The sequence below is a fragment of the Homo sapiens genome, chromosome 1, assembly GCF_000001405.40.
Source record: "Homo sapiens chromosome 1, GRCh38.p14 Primary Assembly".
Lineage (NCBI taxonomy): Eukaryota > Metazoa > Chordata > Mammalia > Primates > Hominidae > Homo > Homo sapiens.
The window spans coordinates 113,196,444-113,217,951 of NC_000001.11; the positions used below are offsets into that span (position 1 = coordinate 113,196,444).

Here is a 21,508-nt window from a genome sequence, read left to right on the forward strand (position 1 = left end):
AACCAGTAAACATAAGGTCTATAAGAAAGTAATAGGGTTAAGTGAGGTCATAAGGGCAAGGCCTTATCCCACAGGACTGTTGTCCTCATGAGAAGAGGACGAGACACCAGGGAACCTCTCCACACAAGAATAGCCAAGAGGCCATATGAAGACACAGCCAGAAGGCAGCCACCCACCATGAGGAAGGAGAGACCTCATCAGAAACCAACCCTGGTGGCGCACTGATATTGGATCTAACCTCCAGAAATGTGAGAAAATAAATTTTTTTTTTTTTTTAAAGATGAACTGGTGTGGGCGTAGAGTTTTACAGTAGAAATAATATGTCAAAGAGGTTAAGTTTGGTCTTGGGAGTAAACTGGTTCAAATTCCAGTTCCACCACTATTTTAATGAGGATTAGGTTTGGCTGTAAATGACAAACCCCAAAACAATAGCAGCTTAAGCAAGTTAGATGTTTACTTTTCTCTTTCATGTAACATTTTGGAGGTGGCCACCTCAGGATTCCCAAGTTAGCTCCAGCATGTCCTCAGGGACCAAGGCTCCTGCTCCCTTGCGGCTCTGCTGTTGATGGCCTTGGTCACATCATGGCACTGGCTGGCACCCTCTGGCTCAAGCTGTCACGTCTGCATTTCAGCAGCGGAGAGAAGGCTGAGAGTTCCAGGAAGTTGCACATACCGCTTTTGCTTATATCCTATTGCCCACAATTTAGTCACATGGACACCTAGCTTCAACAGAGTCTGGAGAATGTAGTCATAACTCTAGAAGGCCACATGCTCAGCTAAAAATGAGGGTCTACTACTGTACAATAAGGAGAAATTAGATTTTAGAGGAAAATAGTTTCTGTCATACTAGCTGTGTGACTTTGGGGAAAGGAATTAATCTCTCTGATTCTCAGTTTCCTCATTCAAGAGTTAGAAGAACGCAAGCAAACACCTTAGCAAAGTGCCTGGCACTGATGAAGGGTTGAGCTATTATTACTTTCCTTTGGTTGTGGCTAGGCTAGCAGGAGGCAGTATCCCTCACAGGGAGAGTGTACATGCAAGCCTGCCCGAATCTGAGTTTTTTTTCGTGCCACTTACCAGCTCTGTGACTTGGGGTTTGTTACTTGACCTTTCTGAATCTTAGTTTTTTCATTTATAGAATGGAGGCAGCAATAATCCTTTCTTTATAGGGTTCTTGTGAGGATTGAGATATTGTATGTAAAGCATTTCATAGGGTACTAAGCAAGAGAGACTCTAAAAGTGCTGGCTTCTTCTATTATTACTAGTCAAGACAAGCCCTGAGTGACCTTGAGATCGACCATGAAGAAGATGCTGGAGAAGGTTCCATAGGATTCTGCCTGGCCACCAGACTCCAAAATTCAGCTCGTTCTAAGGGGCGGGACTGATGCTGTAACCAGGAGGCAATAAATTAACTTGACCTCCAATGACTGTATAAGTACGCTTGCATTTTGAATTCTCTCCAAATACAGCTGATCTTAAACGCAACGGGAACATCCTCTGCCTTCCTGCACGTTTTCACTCCCCCAAACTGTCAGCAATTCTCATCTACAGGGTGCCTTTCCCAAAGGGCTCAGGCAATAAGCACCAGGATGAGAAGTGGTAAAGCCAGAAGGAATTTCTGGCCCCAGCAGGACCTGGAGGGCTGTGCCCAGGCTGTGTATACGCTGGGACTGCCTGTCCCCTCAGGCAGAAGTTGCAGAGAAGCAAAAAATAAGCCAGGATCAGGTGAGCCAGACTTCAGCTTGATGAAACAAGCAAAACACACTATTTCTCTTTAGCTCGGGCTCCTGGGATTAGCGGTTAGGTCCCTAGAGTATACTGGGTGTTTATTCTCGGAGACCCGAGGCTCCAAGGAGTAGCAAGAGTCGGAGGCACAGGGCCTCCCCAGGTAGCTCATTGTTGGTTCTACTTCTTGCAGAAGCCAAATTGGGATCCTCTGCCATATACCCTTCATGTTCACAGGCTGCTTCTCAATTCAGCATCAGCTGAGCAACTGCCAGGGATCCCCGAGAGACAGGAAAGACTGGGTGGGAAATGGACGACTGCGGCCCTGCTGGTTCCCACGCTTCCAGGCTCCCAGGGCACCCTTCCCACTCAGCCCTACTGACTGCCATAGTGACTGCTCCATCAGTTACCATGGCCGCTCGGCAACCCACCTGTAAACGAAGCCACTGTTCGATCCCAGAAAACTCCCAATTAAATCACAAATCTGATGTTTTTCTGCTGTCTGCGAAGAGGATGTATCACCTGAAGCGAAAAATTGGAAACAACCTAAATGACTAAGGAAAAGGGATTGGTTGCACAAACGATGGTTGCATCATTTCAAGTAATATTATGTGGCCATTAAAAAATATAAATCATTTTTCTGAGGATCCAGCAAGATGGCAGAGGTAGAGCAGAAGAAGAAGCGGACCTTCCGCAAGTTCACCTGCTGCGGCGTGGACCTCGAGCAGCTAGCTGCTGGACATGTCCTACGAGCAGCTGATACAGCTGTACAGTGCGCACCAGTGGTGCCGGCTGAACTGGGGCCTGCGGCGGAAGCAGCACTCTCTGCTGAAGCGCCTGCGCAAGGCCAAGACGGCGGTGCCGCCCATGGAGAAGCCGGAAGTGGTGAAGACTCACCTGCGGGACATGATCATCGTGCCCGAGATGGTGGGCAGCATGGTGGGCGTCTACAACGGCAAGACCTTCAACCAGGTGGAGGTCAAGCCGGAGATGATCAGCCACTACCTGGGCGAGTTCTCCATCACCTACAAGCCCGTGAAGCACAGCCGGCTTCAGGGCCACCCACTCCTCCTGCTTCATCCCCCTCAAGCAGTGGCTCAGCTAATAAAGGCACACATGTCTCAAAAAAAAAAATTATATATATATATATATAAAATCATGAGGATATATATAATCATGAGGAGATATATATATATATATATATATATATATATATATATAAAAATCATGAAGATTATGTGGTGACTTGGAAATATGGTTATATTATGATGTTCAGTGAAAATATAAAATCTCATCTCTGCCATGAGTGCAGTGGTAAAAACTATATGTATATCTGGATAAAGAAAAACACACCAAAAAAGAGAAAAAATGGGGTGGGAGGATGGTGGGTACAATTTCCCCTTTCATGTATTCTGGTATCTTTTCCTGCTGTTTGTGCACTAAATAAGAAAATCATTTTAAAATCTTGCTCACTAACCTATCATGCACTTTCACCTTCCCCCAAAGAGGAAAAAGCCTCATTCACTGAAATTTGCTAGTGTAGCTCCTTTGCTTATTTTGATATCAACTTTTCAATCAATATTCTCAGGAAAAGATATGACTATTTTAAGTTGAAAGCAAACCACAGACGAACTCAGTTCCCTGGTCAATTATCCTCCCAGTAGGTGGTGACAGTTAAAAGCAGCTCCTTAAGGGCCAAAAGCAGCTCCTTAAGGGCCCAAAACAGCTCCTTAAGGGCCAAACCCTGCAGTGAGGCCTGTAAATAACTTAGATTCTTCAGGTGCTCAGCGTTTGAATTCCTGGATCACCTGCGGCAGGCTCACCTGAAGTAGACATTAGAGGTGGGGCTGTTCTGCACCAGGAACAAAGCTACTCAAAAATCCTTGACTCTTTGAATTTGGCTGAGTGAACAGGAAAATTAAGAAATCATCACTTTAAAATGACCCAGAATTTCAGGAGCCACTTTAATACCATTCCTGCCACCAACTCATTGTGTAAGCCTAAGCACATCACTTAGCCACTCTCCAGACTAAGGGAACAGATTGTAGCCTGCCTGTAAATGGCTGATGGACAGAAAAACATGAAAACGATGGTGCTGAGCACTTTGCAAAAAGGAAACAGAGTTCATTTGAAAGAACCTGGGATCTGGAGTCAGAAAGTCTGGATCCAAGCCAAAATCTGCCACGCATGAACACTGGGACGTTAGGCTATTAGTTTCTGAGTCTGTTTCCTCAGTAAAATGGGGATAATACTCTGCGCAACTGGATTGTTTTGACATTTAAACGAGTTTATGAGAAAAAGCTTTGTAAATTGTAAAGCACATGTATTAGTTTTTAGGGTTGCCATAATAAAATTCCACAGACTGTGTGGTTTAAACAACAGAAATTAATTTTTTTTTTTTCACAATTCGTGAGTCCAGAAGCCTGAGATTAAGGTGTCAGCAGGGTTGGTTTCTTGTGAGGCCTCTCTCCTTGGCTTACAGACGGCTGCCTTCTCTCTGTGTCTTCCCATGATCTTTCTCGATGTGTGTCCGTGTCCTAGTCTCCTCTTCCTATAAGGACACCAGTCATATGGAATTAGGGCCCACCCAAATGACCTCATTTTAACTTCATTACCTCTTAGAAGACCCTATCTCCAAATACAGACATATTTTATCTGTTTTATTGTACTTGGCTTTATTATGCTTCACAGAAACTGCTTTTTTCACAAATTGAGGGTTTGTGGCAACCCAGCATTGAGCAAGTCTATTGGCATCATTTTTCCAAATACATGTGCTCACTTCATGGCTTTGTGTCACATTTTGGTAATTCTCATAATATTTCAGACTTGTTCATTATTTTTTCTGTTATGATAATCTGTGATAAGTGATACTCGATGTTACTATTATGATTGTTTTGGGGTGCCATGGACTGTACCTATATAAAACAGCAAACTTAATTGATGAATTTGTGTGTTCTGATTGCTCCACTGATTGGCAGTTCCCCAATCTCTCCCTCTCCTTGAGCAGAAATCCATGGATAAGTGGACCTGCATAGTTCAAACCTGTGTTGTTCAAGGGTCAATTGTATTTTAAGCCCACTGTTGCGACCTGCTGCTCAGAAAAAAAGATTTCTTTCCAAATATTACTGTTCATTGACAATGTATTTTGTCACCCAAGATCTCTGATAGAGATGTACAAGGAGATTAATGTGTTTATGTCTGCTAACACAACATCCATTCTGTAGCCCATTGATCAAGGAGTAATTTTGACTTTCAAGTCTGGTAATTTAAGAAATACATTTTGTAAGGCTATAGCTGCCACAGATAGTGATTCCTCTGATGGACCTGGGCAAAGTAAAATTGAAAATCTTCTGAAAAGGATTCACCATTCTAGATGTTACTAAGAACATCTGTGATTCATGGGAGGAGGTCAAAATATCAACATTAGCAGGAGTTTGGAAGAAGTTGATTCCAACCCTCATGGTTGACAAGGAGCTTAAGACTTCAGTGGAGGAAGTAATTGCAGATATGGTAGAAATAGCAAGAAAACTAGAATTAGAAGTGGAACCTGAAGATGTAACTTGAGAAAAGAAAAACAGCTCAGACCAGAAAGACTTATACCTACCCATGCCTGGGGGTAATTGTTGAAAGACATTTGTTTCTGAGCAGCTGCCTCACCCATGATCTTCTTGTTCCTGGAATTTGTGATACAAAGGACAATGTATAGCCAATGAATAGCTTATGTTATTTTAATATAAATTCTTGGTAAACACCTTCAGAACTTGCTCTTCTTTTTTCTTTTAAAAACCCACTTATACCTGCTGCTAATTAGAGCATATGTTCAGGGCAATTTGATTCTATGCTCCTATGTTGCAATCCTCAAACTTGACCCAAATAAACTCTCTACTTACACTAATTTTGCCTCAGTTTGACATTTTGAATTGCTGCAATTTTATGATAAAACTTGAATGGATAAGGAATTGCTTATCATGGATGAGCCAAGAAAGTGTTTTTTTGTTTGTTTGTTTTGTTTTTTTTTTTTTTTTTTAGATGAAATCCACTCCTGGTGAAGATGCTGTGACCATTGTTAAAATGACCACAAAGGTTTTAGAATATTACAGAAGCCTAAAGCAGTGACAGGGTTTGAGAGGACTGTGTCCAATTTTTTTTTCCATCTGTGGTATATGATGAGGTTTCTCTTCAAATAATCTGATCAATCTTTTATTCTTTAATTCATAGTTACCCACCCTCTTTTTTTCTCCTTTTTTCTCCTTTTTTTCCGTTTTGCCTTTGTTAGGTGCGCAGGCACGCCACAGTACCAAGCGTTATGAGTACCAGCTCACATTCCTTTCCTTATTTGGAAAGAGGACTTTCTAGCTCATTACAGACACCCTTTCCCCTTCCTCTCCACTTTATTTTATGTGCCCACCCTATCTAAAAAAATCATATGTTTAGCCAACCGGATTAGTTTAGATTGTACCACCTGACCCCGGCCAATGAGGAAAGGGTACAGGGGCAGGACTTGCGTCAGGAATAAAGGCTCTCATGCCCCTTTGTTCAGGTGTGCTCTCATGGCGACTGGCCAAGGAGGCATCCCTCTGCACAGAAGTAAAATTGCTTCGCTAAGAATCCTTTGTTTGAGTGTTCAATTTCCTTAGGATTTTGAGCCTTATTCCTAACACATCCGCTCAAGAATTTATCCTTTGAGTTATAAAAACAATCCAATTACACTCTTTACATTATTTAAAAATGTACTATTCGGCCAGGCACAGTGGTTCACACCTGTAATCCCAGCACTTTGGGAGGCTGAGGCGGGCGGATCACCTGAGGTCAGGGGTTCAAGACCAGCCTGACCAACATGGAGAAACCCCGTCTTTACTAAAAATACAAAATTAGCTGGGCATGGTGGTGCATGCCTGTAATCCCAGCTACTTGGGAGGCTGAGGCAGGAGAATCACTTGAACCCGGGAGGCGGAGGTTGCAGTGAGCCAAGATTGCACCACTGCACTCCAGCCTGGGCAACAAGAGTGAAACTCTGTCTCAAAAAAATAAAAAATAAAAATAAAAATGTACAATTAAGTTATTATTGACTATACTCATCCTATGGTGCTATAAAACAGTAGGTCTTACTCATTCTGTTTTTTTACATTAAATGCTTATCAACCATCCACACCTCCCCCCATGTTTCCTAATACCCTTCCCAGCTGGTAACCATCCTTCTACTCTGTGTCCATGAGTTCAATTGTTTTGATTTTTAGACCCCACAAATAAGTGAGAACATACAAAGTTTGTCTTTCTGTGCCTGGCTGATTTCACTTAACATAATAATCTCCAGTTCTATCCATATTATTGCAAATGACTGGATCTCACTCTTTTCTTTTATGGCTGAATAGTACTCTATATGTGTATGTATGACATTTATTATTTATTTATTTATTTTTTTGAGACAGAGTCTTTCTCTGTCGCCCAGCCTGGGGTGCAGTGGCACAATCTCAGCTCACTGAAACCTCCGCCTCCCGGGTTCAAGTAATTCTCTGCCTCAGCCTTCCAAGTAGCTGGAATTACAGGCATCTGTCACCATGCCTGGCTAATTTTTTTGTATTTTTAGTACTGACGGGGTTTCACTATCTTGCCCAGGCTGTTCTTGAACTCCTGACCTCGTGATCCACCAGCCTCGGCCTCCCAAAGTGCTGGGATTACAGGCGTGAGCCACTGTGCCTAGCCCCACATTTTCTTTATTCATTCATCTGTTGATGGACACTTAGGTTGCTTCTAAATCTTAGCTATTATAAACAGTGCTGCAACAAACATAGGAGTGCAGATATCTCTTTGATGAACTGATTTCCTTTCTTTTGGGTTTACTTTCAGTAGGATTGTTGGATCATACGGCAGCTAAATTTTTAGTTTTTTCAGGAACCTCCAAACTGTTCTCCATGGTGGTTGTACTAACTTACATTCCCACCAACAGCATATGGGGTTCCCTTTTCTCCATGTCCTTGCCAGCATTTGTTATTGCCTTCTTTTGGATATAAACCATTTTAACTGGGGTGAGAGTATATCTCATTGTAGTTTTGATTTGCATTTCTCTGATACTCAGTGATGCTGAGCACCTTTTCATATACCTGTTTGCCATTTGTATGTCTTCTTTTGAGAAATGTCTATTGAGATCTTTTGCTCATTTTTTATTGGATTATTAAATTTTTTTTCCCCTATAGAGTTGTTTGAGCTCCTTATGTATTCTGGTTATTAATCCCTTGTGGGATGGGTAGTTTGCAAATATTTTCTCCCATTCTGTGGGTTGTCTCTTCACTTTGCTGACTGTATTTTCTCTGCAGAAGCTTTTTAACTTGATGTGGTCCTATTTGTCCATTTTTGCTTTGGTTGCCTGTGTTTGTGGGATATTGCTCAAGGAATTTTTCCGCAGACCAATACCCTGGAGATTTTCCCCAATGTTTTCCTATAGTAGTTTCATAGTTTGAGGTCTTAAATTTAAATCTTTAATCCATTTTGATTTGATTTGTGGATATGGTGAGAGATAGGGGTCTAGTTTCATTCCTCTGCATATGGATATCTAGTTTTCGCAGTATCATTTATGGAAAAGCCTGTCTTTTCCCCAGTATATGTTCTTGGCATCTTGTCAAAAATGAGTTCACTGTAGGTGTGTGGATTTGTTTCTGGGTTCTCTATTCTGTTCCATTGGTCTATGTGTCTGTTTTTATGCCAGTACCTTGCTGTTTTGGTTACTATAGCTCTGTAGTATAATTTGAAGTCAGGTAATGTGATTCCTTCAGTTTTATTCTTTTTGCTTAGGATAGCTTTGGCTATTCTGGGTATTTTGTGGTTCAATATATTTAGGATTGTTTCTTCTATTTCTGTAAAGAATGCCATTGGTATTTTTGTAGGAATTGCATTGAATCTGTAGATTTTTTGGGGTAGTATGGACATTTTAACAAGATTTAGTCTTCCAATCCATGAACGTGGAATATTTTTCCATTTTTTGGTGTCTTCTTCAATTTCTTTCAATTGAGACCAATTTTGAAAGACATTCTGGTTAAAATGGTATCAAAGCTGGGCATGGTGGCTCATGCCTGTAATCCAAGCACTTTGGGAGGCCGAGCTGGGCAGATCACAAGGTCAGGAGATCAAGACCAGCCTGGTCAACACAGCAAAACCCTGTCTCTACTAAAAATACAAAAACTAGCTGGGTGTGCTGGCATGTGCCTGTAGTCCCAGCTACTCCGGAGGCTGAGGAAGGAGAATCACTTGAACCTGGGAAGTGGAGGTTGCAGTGAGCTGAGATTGTGCCATTGCACTCCAACCTGGGTGACAGAGTGAGACTCCATCTCCAAAAAATAAAATAAAATAAAATAAAATAAAATAAAATGGTATCAAACAGTATCTCATGCTACAGAGAAAACTTTCGTGAAAGGAAGAGTCAATCAATGAGACAAACTTCATGTCTTATTTTAAGAAATTGCTACAGCCACCCCAGCTTTCAGCAACTACGACTGTGATCAGTCAGCAGTCATCAATATTATGGCAAGATCCTCCACAAGCAAAAAAATTACAACTCCCTGACAGCTCAGATGATCATTAGCACTTTTTAGTAATAAAGCATCTTTTAATTAAGGTATGCTCATTTTTTTCTAGACATAATGCTGTTGCACACATAGTAAACTACAGCATAGTATAAACATAACCTTTATATGCACTGCAAAACCAAAAAAAAAATGTGTGTGACTGGCTTTATTGTGATATTTGTTTTATTTCAGTGGCTGAAACTCAACCAACAATATTCCCAAGGTATGCCTGTTCAGTCACATTCTGAGGTACTGGGGTTTAGGACTTCAATATATGAATTTGGAGACACAATTCAGCCATAACAACACAATATAAATATTTTTCTGGACTTACCTGGGACTTCCCATGATGGGCATTTAGCACACAGTAGGAAATAGCTTTGTTGACCATTTTTCCACTACATCATCATGGCGAGAGGCAGCAGGAGAGACCTGACAGCACTCTGAGCTTGCTCTCTGCTGCTGTGGGGCCAGGATCTTCTGCGGCTATGGGCCTCCAGTCCCACTCAGCAAATAAATGAGCCATATTCCCTTTGGGTTTGAAATGCTTTTTTGTAGGAAAGGAATAATCAAATACTTAACAGCTACTAACTGTTAAGTATTAACAGGGAGAAACAGGTGTGCATGGGCTGTGGGCATTTGTCTCTGTTTACATTTGTAAGTGTCTTCTGGAACAGCCCATCCAGGCCCTTTAAGGAGCTTTCACCAGCTAAAGGAAAAACTACCAACAGGGAGGCCAGGTCACTTTTCTTCCAAATTCTTCCCAAAGTATTTACTTTCATCTGCTGGGAAAAGACCTCAACAAACATTTATCAAGGACCTCTTTTGTGCCTGAGGCTGTGCTGGGTCTGGAAGGAATGTACTGCTTCACTGGGCCTGTTTAGTAAATACAGACATTGCTCAACCAACAAGGAGGAGAGAGAGTCCGTGGGTTCAGGAGCTGGGAATTCACTTGTGCCAGCAGAATGTAGGAGGGCCCTGGTCAGGAAGATAGGTTATTTGGTGCTGCTATGTTATTTTTTATTTTGCCTCTTTACGGATGTAAGGAAGAGACATGCCCACGTTACCTGCGAGCCATCTCTCAGTGGCACAGAATCCCATCCTCTCAACATTGCTGCGTCCCAGTGCTTCCAAGGTGGTGGGGGTGAGGAGAGGGTTCAGTGCTTTTCATGGAATCTGGATTTCAACTTAAGGCCAATAGATTTACCCTCTTTCTGAATGTCTAGAATTTATCCTAGCAGAGGATCTAGCTGTGTCAATTTACCCTTCTCCAAAACGGAGCTCTGCTATCTGCCAGAAGCAAAGGACATTTGTCGTTTTTGCCTGCCCAGCTTACCTCCCACTTCTCTTGGAAATAAAACCACACTTTCCTTCCTGGAACCCATTCTATGTGGTTCAGGTGGGGCTGACCTCACCTCCCCCAATGCAGGGAAGGTGCCCTGTCCTTAGTCTAGCCAATAGGAGTAGCTCTCTAGCCCTTGTCACAGTGATTGGCACAGAGCTGGGCATATGACTCAAGCACAGCCAAACAGAGTCTGCTTCAGGCATTGATGTGGCAGCCACAGGAGAGCAGTTCCGCCCTCCTCTTGGATAACATGCTCTAAGGATGGCTTGGAACTGCTTGCAGCCATCTTCTCCAGTGGTACAGGGGCACAGAGGACACTTTCATCATCTGGAGAAAATGAAGCCAATGTACAAAGAGAAATCGCAGAGAGATGGAAAGCTAAAGGCAACCTTAAAGACAATCTTTGAGCCTCTGGATCCATCTCTTCTCAGGAGCTAATACATTTCCTATGTTGCTTATACTCCTTTGAGCTGGGTTTCTGTCACTGGGATTGGAAAACTGACTGTTGCAGCAACAGGGTTTTGTACTGAGCCTCCTCAGAGACAGTCAGCATTTCTCATGCTTGGCCCATGGTGTTTACCCTTGGCTGGAGCCCTGATTCTCATTAAACTAATTACGGGCAGAGTATGAGGACTACATTCACTCAGAGATCAGGGCACAAAGCATTGCAATTTTATGCAGAGATTACTGCTGAGGACCACTCCCCTTGGAAGTAAGCTGTGGACTAGAGAGTCATTTCACACTTAAACCCTTCCCTCTATGTCTTTGGCCTTTAAACTCTGGTTTCTATTCTTTACTTTCTGAGTGTGTATTTTCAAATCACCCCTTGGGGAGGGGTCTCAGGAACATCCCAGGCTCCATATCAAATGCAGGAAGGTATTTACCATGCATGACAGGTTTCCTATAGTTCTTTGGACTGCAGAGGAGTACTGCGCTGCACGCATGAGCATGGGTGGTGGGGTCAGATGGAATGAAGATCTTTGGCTTTGAGGCAGTGTAACCTGTCTGCCTTCCTCTGTCATTGTGAGTTCCTCAATTCACGTTACTGTCAACCTCTCCCCATGTCTCCAAATTACCCTGTGGCCCACTGGCCATTTTATATGCACGTCATTCTAGCCTCAGAACATGCCATTTCCCTTCCGCTAATGTCTTATTGCCTGTATGAATCTAAACTTGAGGGAGTCTACTGGATTATCTTGCCCACGACCATAGCAGTTTTGTTTGTTTGTTTGTTTGTTTTGAGACAGAGTCTCACACTGTTGCCTGGGCTGGTGTGCAATGACACAATCTCGGCTCACTACAACCTCTGCCTCCCGGGTTCAAGCGATTCTTCTGCCTCAGCCTCCGTAGCTGGGATTACAGGTGCCTGCCACCACGCCTGGCTAATTTTTTGCATTTTTAGTAGAGATGGGGTTTCACTATATTGGCCAGGCTGGTCTCAAACTCCTGAACTTGTGATCTGCCTGCCTCAGCCTACCAAAGTGCTGGGATTACACGCGTGAGCCACCACGCCCGGCCAACCATAGCAGTTTACATGTGGGTTTGGTTTGGGACTGAGAGTCAAGATCCACTGAGGGGCGTGGCCTCTCTTCCAGTATTTACTTTTGTTTGCAAATGAGTACATATTCCGACTCCGACTCCGAAGTCTTATAAAGCTTTTCTAACTCAATTTTCAGAGGTAACAATAGACTCAACCTGAACATTTGATTGACAGTATCCTCTGCTTCCTTTTGCACAGGGTACTTGTGTCATTTCTCCTCCTCTAAGTAATTGCGGCAGCTTTGGTTTCTCTCTTTGCTATGTGACACAGCATGAAGGTTTGGACAGGAGTTTAACTATTACCCTTTAATGTTTTTGTTGTGTTACTGTCAAATTGTGTCTTCTTAAAGGTTGCTTCCTGTCCTTTCTTAGGAGCAGGAAAAAAAAAGTGGCTGTGTGTCTTATGCCCTATCTGTATAAAATGCTTTTCATTATTGATAAAGATACACTATTCCAGGAGACTCACCTATTTAACCAGGTCAAGAGCTGGAAACCTTTCTCCAGTCTGTGTTCAGCCTCTAGTCCCACAGTGGTGTGAATACAAAGCAGTCTTCCTTGCAGGTGTTCAGCACACAGGCCGTAAGCCAAGAGCAGTAGATGGCATGCAGAAGGAAGAGGGTCACTTTCTGCTTCATCATTTGGGATTCTAGTGGACCCAGAGAAGGAACGCCAAGGAGAGGACCTAGACTCGTAACCCCCACATGCCACACTTTTATTTCTCCTAAGATTAACGATGTTTATCACTATTTGAGGTACTGTTAATGTGCCAGATACTTTAAGTGCTTGGCATATGTTATCTAAACCTTAAAAGAATTTTATGAGGTGGAGAATATGATTCCCATTTTATACATAAACAAACTCAAAGATGTTGAGAGAATACCTGAAGAAGTTAAAAGGCTGTCACGCAGCCAGAGGTGACCCTGGGCTTTTGAGTGCTGGCAGGTGGCAAGCACCCAGGTGAGAGCTGTGGGGTGGCCTGCAGACCCCGAGGAGTTAGAAACAGAGGCCTTGGGACAGGCTCCAGGAAGGTGGCCTGTGTGAGAACCTCTCTAGTCCCCAGTGCTCCTGGGAGAGGCAGCTCAAGTGCAAAGCCAGATGCACCCTGCAGTGGGGTGAGAGAGGGGCATAGATCACCTTCCAGAAATAGCTGCCGAGTTGATGTTAAATTTTGTAGGTTTTCTTGATTCCGTTTGTTAATATAATCTTGTGCTCATGGGTGTTAAAAGATGTGGGCCTGAGGTAATATTCATTTGGCTTATTGTAATAGTTACTCCTGGGCATTACACATGCTAAACAAAGCAAAATATTCACCAAGCTCTCAATCTGAGCTCCTTGGGTCAGTAAGCAGAGGTCACAATCTTTTCCTAGTCCCACTAGTGAGTTAAATTCTGGAATGGCTCTGAATTATCAATATGTCAATAAAATGTCAGTCAGCCAGAGCGACATGCTATTGCAGTATTGACTGTCGGATCCTAAAGCAAAAACATGTTTTAATTGTTTTTGCTGAGTGTAGGGAAGCCAGTAAGTAGAGACCAGGTTTGAGAGGGTTAGAGATTGCCACTGATCTTTATTTTTCAGTTTTGAGAGTCTTGTAGCATTGTGGAACCCATTTCTCATTTTCGCCCACAGAATTTATATCAGAGTCAGAAACAGGAACCTGCAAAGGGAAATATCTGAGAAAACAGGCTGTTCCAGGCTTACCTGGTAGGGCAGGGCTGGTGCCCAGGTACAATCATTGGCCAGTGTAAATATATGCGAGTCAGCTAGTGGTGATGACTTTGAAGCATGGGAGGAGGAGATGGGTGCCGCCTTTAGCTCCATAAGCATTTGCTTCAACTGATTAGACTCTCCAGGTACAGCGTGGTGAGGAATGAGACTAACAGCAGCCAGACTGCAAAACTGTGGGTGTGGCATGTCTTCCGGAAAGACCTCCTTATCTTTCCCCATAGAGCAACAATGGTTCCCCTTTTTCTTTGCTTTAGCCCAAAGGTGGGTCTCATCTTGGAAGTCACTTAGGGTTCTCTTTTTCCTGAGGGACACACGTGGGCAAAGATTTGAATACGTCTGCGCCCAGGGGCTTTTCCATCCTAAGGACCTTGTCGCCTTTTGTGCTTTGCCTTGTTTCTCTTTTTCTTTTCATTCTACTCTTTTTCTTTTTTTTGAGGCGAAGCCTTGCTCTGTTGCCCAGGCTGGAGTGCAGTGGCACGGTCTTGGCTCACTGCAGCCTCCACCTCCTGGATTCAAGCGATTTTCCTGCCTCAGCCTCCCAAGTAGCTGGGACTACAGGCACGCACCATCACACCCAGCTAATTTTTTTTTTTTTTTTTTTTTTGTATCTTTAGTAGAGACGGGGTTTCACCATGCTGGCCAGGCTGGTCTCGAGCTCCTGACATCAAGCGGCCTCAAGAGGCCCCCCTCGACCTCCCAAAGTGGTGGGATTACAGGCGTGAGCCACTGTGTCTGGCTATCTTTTCATTCTACTCTTAACTCTCACCCTAACCCACAGGAGACCTTATGCAAACTGGAAAAAGAACATCTCTCTTGGCAGGTGTAGCCTGTACCAGGCTGCATGGCCGGGTGGGCAGATGATGGGCTGGACTTGGGCCCCCAATTTTCCCCTCAGTGGGTATTCTTGTGCAGTGAACACTGCATAGCTGAATGTGGTAGCCCTGTTAATGCTCATCATTTTCTTATCTTGTACTACAAAGGTAAGCTGCAGAGCCTTTTGGGGGCAAGGCAGGTGTAAAATGAATTAAGTATTAATGCGATATAGCTGAGTAGGCTATTCCCCCACTGTTAACTTGACAGAGTGGTACCAGGTGGGGTCCCACACACCTGGTGGGGGAGTAGTGGTCACCCCTGGAGGGGGCTTCTTTAGAAATACAGATATGCTTTGCGGGGTGAGCTGAATGGAAACTGCAGCCACTACTGGGGAGTGAGGGTGAGTCTAGGCACAGGCAGGAATCAGCGTGGATTTTGAGAGGCGTAGATGGAACGATTCTGGAGTAGAAAGAGTGAGGTGTTTTGATGCTGTCAGATGGCAGCTGAAACAGACAGCAGAAGCTGTCATTAACTGGTCAGAGCCGATGGCAGGAAGAAGATAAGAGAGGAAAGCAGAGCAGGACAGAGGAAAGAAGAGAAGAGGAGGAGAAGAGACAGAGGACAGGGAGGGGAGATGGGGGGAGGGGAGAAGACAGGAGAGGAAGTGGGGAGAAGAGGAGAAGGGAAGGGAGAGGAGCATAATAACATTTCCAAGGTCTGAGGAATTCAGTTTTACTCATGCTCACTCTGTTACAATTTATTACCTCCTCCATTCAGTACATGTTTATCGAGCTTCTTCTCTATGCCAGGTACTGTGACAGAGAGATGAGCATACAATCCAGTGGGGAACGCAAACATTGAAAGCAATGATTGCTGCTTGCTGGGCTCTGATGGATGATGTTACAGCAGCACAGAGTGGGCTTAGGAGTTAATAATGGGGAAAAGTGCAGGATGGCACCATATTTCTGTTTTAAGGGACTGTATGAATGAGAGTGCTCCTGGCTAAGATATGAACACAGTTGCCACAAACTGGGATAAAGAACATGAAAGAAGCAAGTGTGGTGGATGTAAGAATATGAGCCCAACTTTAGACATGCTGCATCTGGGGTGGAATGACACCGACTGGTGACCGGTAGATAGATAAGCCACTGGAAGGCAAGCTCCAGGGCGACAGGGCTTTCAGCCTACGCCATCTAATACTGCATCCCGAGGACCTGCAAGAGTGCCTGGCACACATGAGGTGCTCAGTACATATTCGTGGAGTGGGTGCGTAGCTCGGATGTGGAGGCACCCCCGTGGAAGTCCTCACTTGTTGCCCACATTCATCTTGATGCTGCGCTTAGTTAGCATTTTATTGCACACTCTGCCACCCCCAACCCTAAAACAAAGCTAATATCCACAATGCGTCAGTGAATTGTGCCTGTCACGTAGGAAGTGCTCAATAAATATTTATCAATGATAAATCTCATATTAATGTTAATCAATACAGGATCGATGATGTGTTAATTATATTAATATAGAATATATTATAATAATAAATGTGTATTATATAGAGATGTATAGATAACAAGTAATAGGCCGCAGTTCTCGAGGGGAGTTTGGGAATAATAATGATATTGCCCAGCAGATAGCAGAAACCTAAATATGTCTTCTCTCCTGCCAGCCAGCTTGGCTCTTCTCATTCTCTTTCCCCATGTGATCTCTAAACTCTCCATTAACTGAACTGTTCATCTTTGACTCTTGGCCTACATGCCCGTGGGAGCATAAGAAAAGCCTGGCATTCACTCAGCAGTGTCTTCGAGCCTTCTCTTTGGGGTACTTCATTCATCCCACCACCAATGGATCTGAAGCTCAGGCAGCATCTAGGAATGCAGATTTGGGGGCCAAAGGAGTGAGTGAGGAGGTGGAGTGTGAGGGAAAGAGGCTGAGGTGAAGCCCCTGTGAAACACTGAAGGCTGAGAGGCGGGGAGAAAGAGCAGTCTCTGCAGAGACAGGAGCTTGTGCATCCTCATCCAGCTTCCAGCCAGCTTACCTGTCCAGCTTCACAGCAGTATGTGTCCAGCCCATCACTGCAAGAGTCAGCTGGTCATGCACTATCAGGAACAAAGTTTGCAAGAAATAGTTTTTGAATGAAGAAAGTTCCAGCCACTCTCACAAAAATGGACTCTCTGCTCTAGTAATTCCGAAATAACTTCAGTTCTCAGAACATGCCCTGTTCTTTTCAATGTATGTTTAGCCATCCATTCACTCATCCATTTGTTCACTTAACAGGCCCATTTCCAAAACCATTCTCACATTTTAGGTTTTTGTTATGGCAGCACCCCATTTCTAGGTACCCACAGTATTGTAAAGTCACCACAAGTCGCTACCACACTAAGCTCCTCCTGGGCAGGGACAGAGTTTTGGCCTCTGTGTTGTCCTGAAGGCTCCAGCCTGACTCAGCCAACCCTCACTAAGACCAGCAGTCACAGGCCTGTACCAGCTCACCAGACGACCACTCTTACCCTAGTACCATGATACATTTTCAGACAATTTAGCCAAGTCGGCAGCTAAAGAAGCGGCATCATTGCAAAGAGGTGAAGATCAGAAACAAAGGGAAAAATAATGGCTCCATGCAAATCTTGCAAGGAATTTAAAAGGATACAGGAAAAGGTTTCAGGAAAGACTGCTTCAGTAGCTCAGAACCAGGCCCAGGATTCTCATCCAGAGGCTGCCTTTAAAAAAATAGCATAATTTCACTCTTGGCAACTCTATTAGCCCATTCTTGCATTGCTATAAAGAAGTACCTGAGACTGGGTAATGGATAAAGAAAAAGGGGTATAATTGGCTCACAGTTCTGCTGGCTTTGCAAGAAGCATGGTGCTGATATCTGCTCAGCTTTTAGGGAGGCCTCAGGGAGCTTACAATCATGATAGAAGATGAAGGTGAGCAAGACGCCACATAGTGAAAGCAGGGGCAAGCAAGGGGTCTGATCTTAAATGACCAGATCTTATAAGAACTCACTACCACAAAGACAGCATCAAGCCATGAGGGACCCACCTCCATGATCCAAACACCTCCCACCAGGCCCTACCTCTAGCATTGGGGATCGCAATTCCACATGAGATTTGGGCAGGGACAAATATCCAAACTATATAATTCCATCCCAGATCCTCCCAAATCTTGTATTCTTCTTACATACAATCATGCCTTCCCAACAGTCTCACAAAATCTTAACTCATTCCACATTAATTCAAAAGTACAAAGTCACATCTCAGACAAGGCAAATCCCTTCCACCTGTGAGCCTGTAAAATAAAAAACAAGTTAGCTACTTCCAAGATACAATGAAGGTACAGGCATTGGGTAAACATTGCCATTCCAAAAGTGAGAAATTGCCAGAAAGAAAGGGGCTACAGGCCCTATGCAAGTTCAAAATTTAGCAGGGCAGTCATTAAATCTTAAATGTCCAAAATAATCTCCTTTGACTCCATGCCCGACATTCAGTGCACACTGGTGCAAGGCCTTGGGCAGCTCTGCTCCTATGGCTTTGCAGAGTTCAGGTCCTGCAGCTGCTCTCACAGGCTGGAGTTGAATGACTGCCTCTCTTCAAGGTGCAGGTACAAGCTACCAGTGAATCTACTATTCTTGGATCTGGAGGATGGTGGCCCCTTTTTCACAGCTCCACTAGGCACTGACCCAGTGGGGAAGCTGTGTGGAGTCTCCAACCTCATATTTCCCCTCCACACTGCCCTAGTAGAGGCTCTCTATGAGGTCTCTGCCCCTGCAGCAGGCTTCTGCCTGAATACGCAGTCTTTTCCGTATGTCCTCTGAAATCTAGGTGTAGGCTCTCACACTTCCTTCACTTTTGCATTCTGTATGCCTGCAGGCTTAACACTACATGGAAGCTGCCAAGGCTTATAGCTTGTGTCCTCTGAAGCAGCAGCCTGAGCTGTATCTGGGGCCCTTTGAGCAAAGCTGGAGCTGGAGAGGGTGATGCAGGCAGCAGTGTCCCAAGGCTGCCCAGGTCGTCCTAAGACTGCCTCAGGCACTGGGGCTCTGGGCCTGCCCCCACAACCATTCTTTCACCCTAGGCCTCTGGGCCTGTGATGGGAGAGGCTGCCCTGAAGGTCTCTGAAATGCCTCTGTGGCCATTTCCCCATTGTCTTCGATTATTAGCACTTAGCTCCCTTCTAGTTATGCAAATTTCTCTAGCGAGTGGTTGCTCCACAGCCAGCTTGAATTCCTCTCCCTAAAAAGCTTTTTCTTTCTCTGCTACATGGCCAGATAATTTTCTAAACTTTTACACTCTGCTTCCTATTTAATTTCCAACTTTAAGTCATTTTTTTGTTCCTGCATTGAAGTGTAGGCTGTTAGAAGCAGCTATGCCACTTCTTGAACACTTTGCTGCTTAGACATTTCTTCTGCCAGATACTCTAGATCATCACTCTTTAGTTCAAACTTCCACAGATCCTTAGGGCATAAACAGAATGCAGCCAAGCTCTTTGCTAAAGCATAATACATGAGCTTTTGCTACAGTTCCCAGTAAGTTCCTTGTTTTCATCTGAGGCCTCAAAAGCCTGGACTTCACTGTCCATATCACTATCAGCATTTTGGTCACAACCATTTAACCAGTCTATAAGAAGTTTCAAACTTTCCCTTATCTTCCTGTCTTCTGAGCCTTCCAAACTCTTCCAACCTTTGTCCATTACCCAGTTCCAAAGCTGCTTCCACATTTTCTGATATCTGTATGGCAATGCCCTACTCCTCAGTATGAATTTTCTGTATTAGTCCATTCTTGATTGCTATGAAGAACTATCTGAGACTGGCTAATTTATAAAGAAAAGAGGTTTAATTGGCTCACAGCTCTGCAGGCTTTACAGGAAGCATGGTGCTGACTTAGCTTCTAGGGAGGCCTCAGGAAGCTTACAGTCATGGCGAAGTGGGACCAGGCACATCACATGACAAAAGCAGGAGTAAGCAAAAGAGAGTGACGGGGAGGTGCCATACACTTTTAAATGACCAAATCTCATGAGAACTCACTATCATGAAGACAGCACCAAGCCATGAGGAACCCACCTCCATGACCCAAACACCTCCCACCAGGCCCCACCTCCGGCATTGGGGATTACAATTCAACATGAGATTTGGGTGGGGACAAATATCCAAACTATATTAGCAACTGTCCATCCAGTGGAATTTTGGTGGCTTCATGGGGAAGACATTCCATCCCTCTCCTTTTCCCATACCTTCCTTCAGATGACCTACCCCATTACCTTCAAAGAATTCCACAGTCACAAAGTTATTCCTTAGGCATAAGACTCTTTGTCTCCTGGAAAACAGAGAATCTCTGGAAGGGATGGTCTAGGTCTTATGAGAGTCAGGGAGAATTGGTGTATGCAATCCTCTGCTGGGGGCAGGCTTTTATGAGAATAAAAGAAGAGGAAGCCACTGTGAGGATGTTCAGAGGAGAGGGTAGAGAAGATGGTGGTGAAAGGGGAACAGTAGGACCAAGGAGCAAAGACAACCAATAATTTGGGGATTTCAGAAACTCTGACATCCTGTCCTTTATAATTCTGGAGGTGCTGCTGAGCCCTGCTGCCTGCTCTGGAGTTTCTTGGCATTTGCTTTGCCTGTTTGCTCATTTACTATCAGCAAAGTAGCTGGACATTTCACCAGTTATCAAGGACTGTGCTAGGTCGGGCAGCACCAGGGGCTACGGACACACAGACAGCCTCAGCTGCAAGGGCCAAACATCGTCACTCCAGAGAGGAGGTCAAGCTCCAAGCTGGCCTCACCTGTGGCTGCCTGAAGACTGGGAAATGCACAGGCTTTCCAGTGAGACAAAGCTGAGTTCAAACCTGGCCCTGTTCCTCTAGCTGTGTGGCCATGGACATTGATTACCCTTTCTGAAGCATAGCTTTACCAATTGTAAAGTGAAGATCATCATACCCAACCCAGAGGGTTGTTAGGAGAAAAAATGAAAGAAGCTTTGTAGCATACCTAATGCAGGGTCTGGATCACAGCAATTGCTGAAAAACAGTTGTCCCCTTCCCCTTCCCTCTTGGCTCTGTCTTCCTGCATTTCATTAGTCAGATCTCTGCGGTTTTCCTAGAACATCTCTAACTGCAAACCACCAACTACTAAAAACCCTCAAGGAGGGGTAAAATGGATAATAGGAATTTCTAGTGACATAAAAGTGATATCATGTTTGTATGTGTAACTATCAATCAATTTCAGAGAAAAGCAGGCTTGCATATCTGAGCAGACACCACCAGCTTTCTTCTGCTTCTGCAGATTGAATTTTATTTTATTAAGAGCAGAACAATGGGCCTGATTTTCCTCTTTGGATACTAAAGAAGACAAATTAGTCAAAAGGAAATTCAGCTGAAACTGTATTTAGTGTTTGAGATCCTAAGCCCCGAGACGGAGCCTCTGTGTGACCTTGAGGAGCTGCGTGCATGCTCACTGCTGGATCCCAGCATGATGTGGCCATGTCTGGGTCAGGAGCACAGGAGGCTCAAGGCCAGTCCAGGGCCTGGTCAACAGAGCAGCACACGCAAAATCAAAGTGACCCTGGGCCTTGATGAGGGACACGCTGCCTTCCTGAGCAGTGCATGCTGCATGAGTGTAACTGATTACCACATTTTTAAAAGAAAAAAATGGATTTTCTTAACCTTTTTCCTTTTCCCCCACCTCCTACTTAGCTCTTTAGGAATGCAATTATAACCTTTACCTTCTCTCCACCAGACACTCCCTACACGGCAAGCTTATCTAACTATGTGTTTACTTAGAAGTTCTGGAGGCTGAACCTTGAAACAC

General features: G+C 44.2%; 1 long non-coding RNA gene and 1 pseudogene across 1 annotated transcript, besides 1 other annotated feature; one reads left to right on the forward strand and one right to left on the reverse strand.

The window, feature by feature from the left end:
* Window positions 1-337: 337 nt before the first annotated feature.
* Window positions 338-9,810, reverse strand: LOC643441 (uncharacterized). Its single transcript, NR_038846.1, has 3 exons — window positions 9,619-9,810; window positions 5,330-5,399; window positions 338-2,247 (listed from the first exon to the last, which is right to left on the reverse strand). It is a non-coding gene; the product is annotated as an uncharacterized LOC643441 (long non-coding RNA).
* Window positions 2,074-2,579: an enhancer, noted in NCBI's record as "H3K27ac-H3K4me1 hESC enhancer chr1:113741139-113741644 (GRCh37/hg19 assembly coordinates)". NCBI's record gives its function as "activates a minimal SCP1, AML or CMV promoter by ChIP-STARR-seq in naive H9 embryonic stem cells {active_cell/tissue: H9 hESC(naive)}" and the evidence as "EXISTENCE:reporter gene assay evidence [ECO:0000049][PMID:30033119]".
* RPS15P1 (ribosomal protein S15 pseudogene 1) lies at window positions 2,364-2,848 on the forward strand (annotated as a pseudogene).
* Window positions 9,811-21,508: the final 11,698 nt, after the last annotated feature.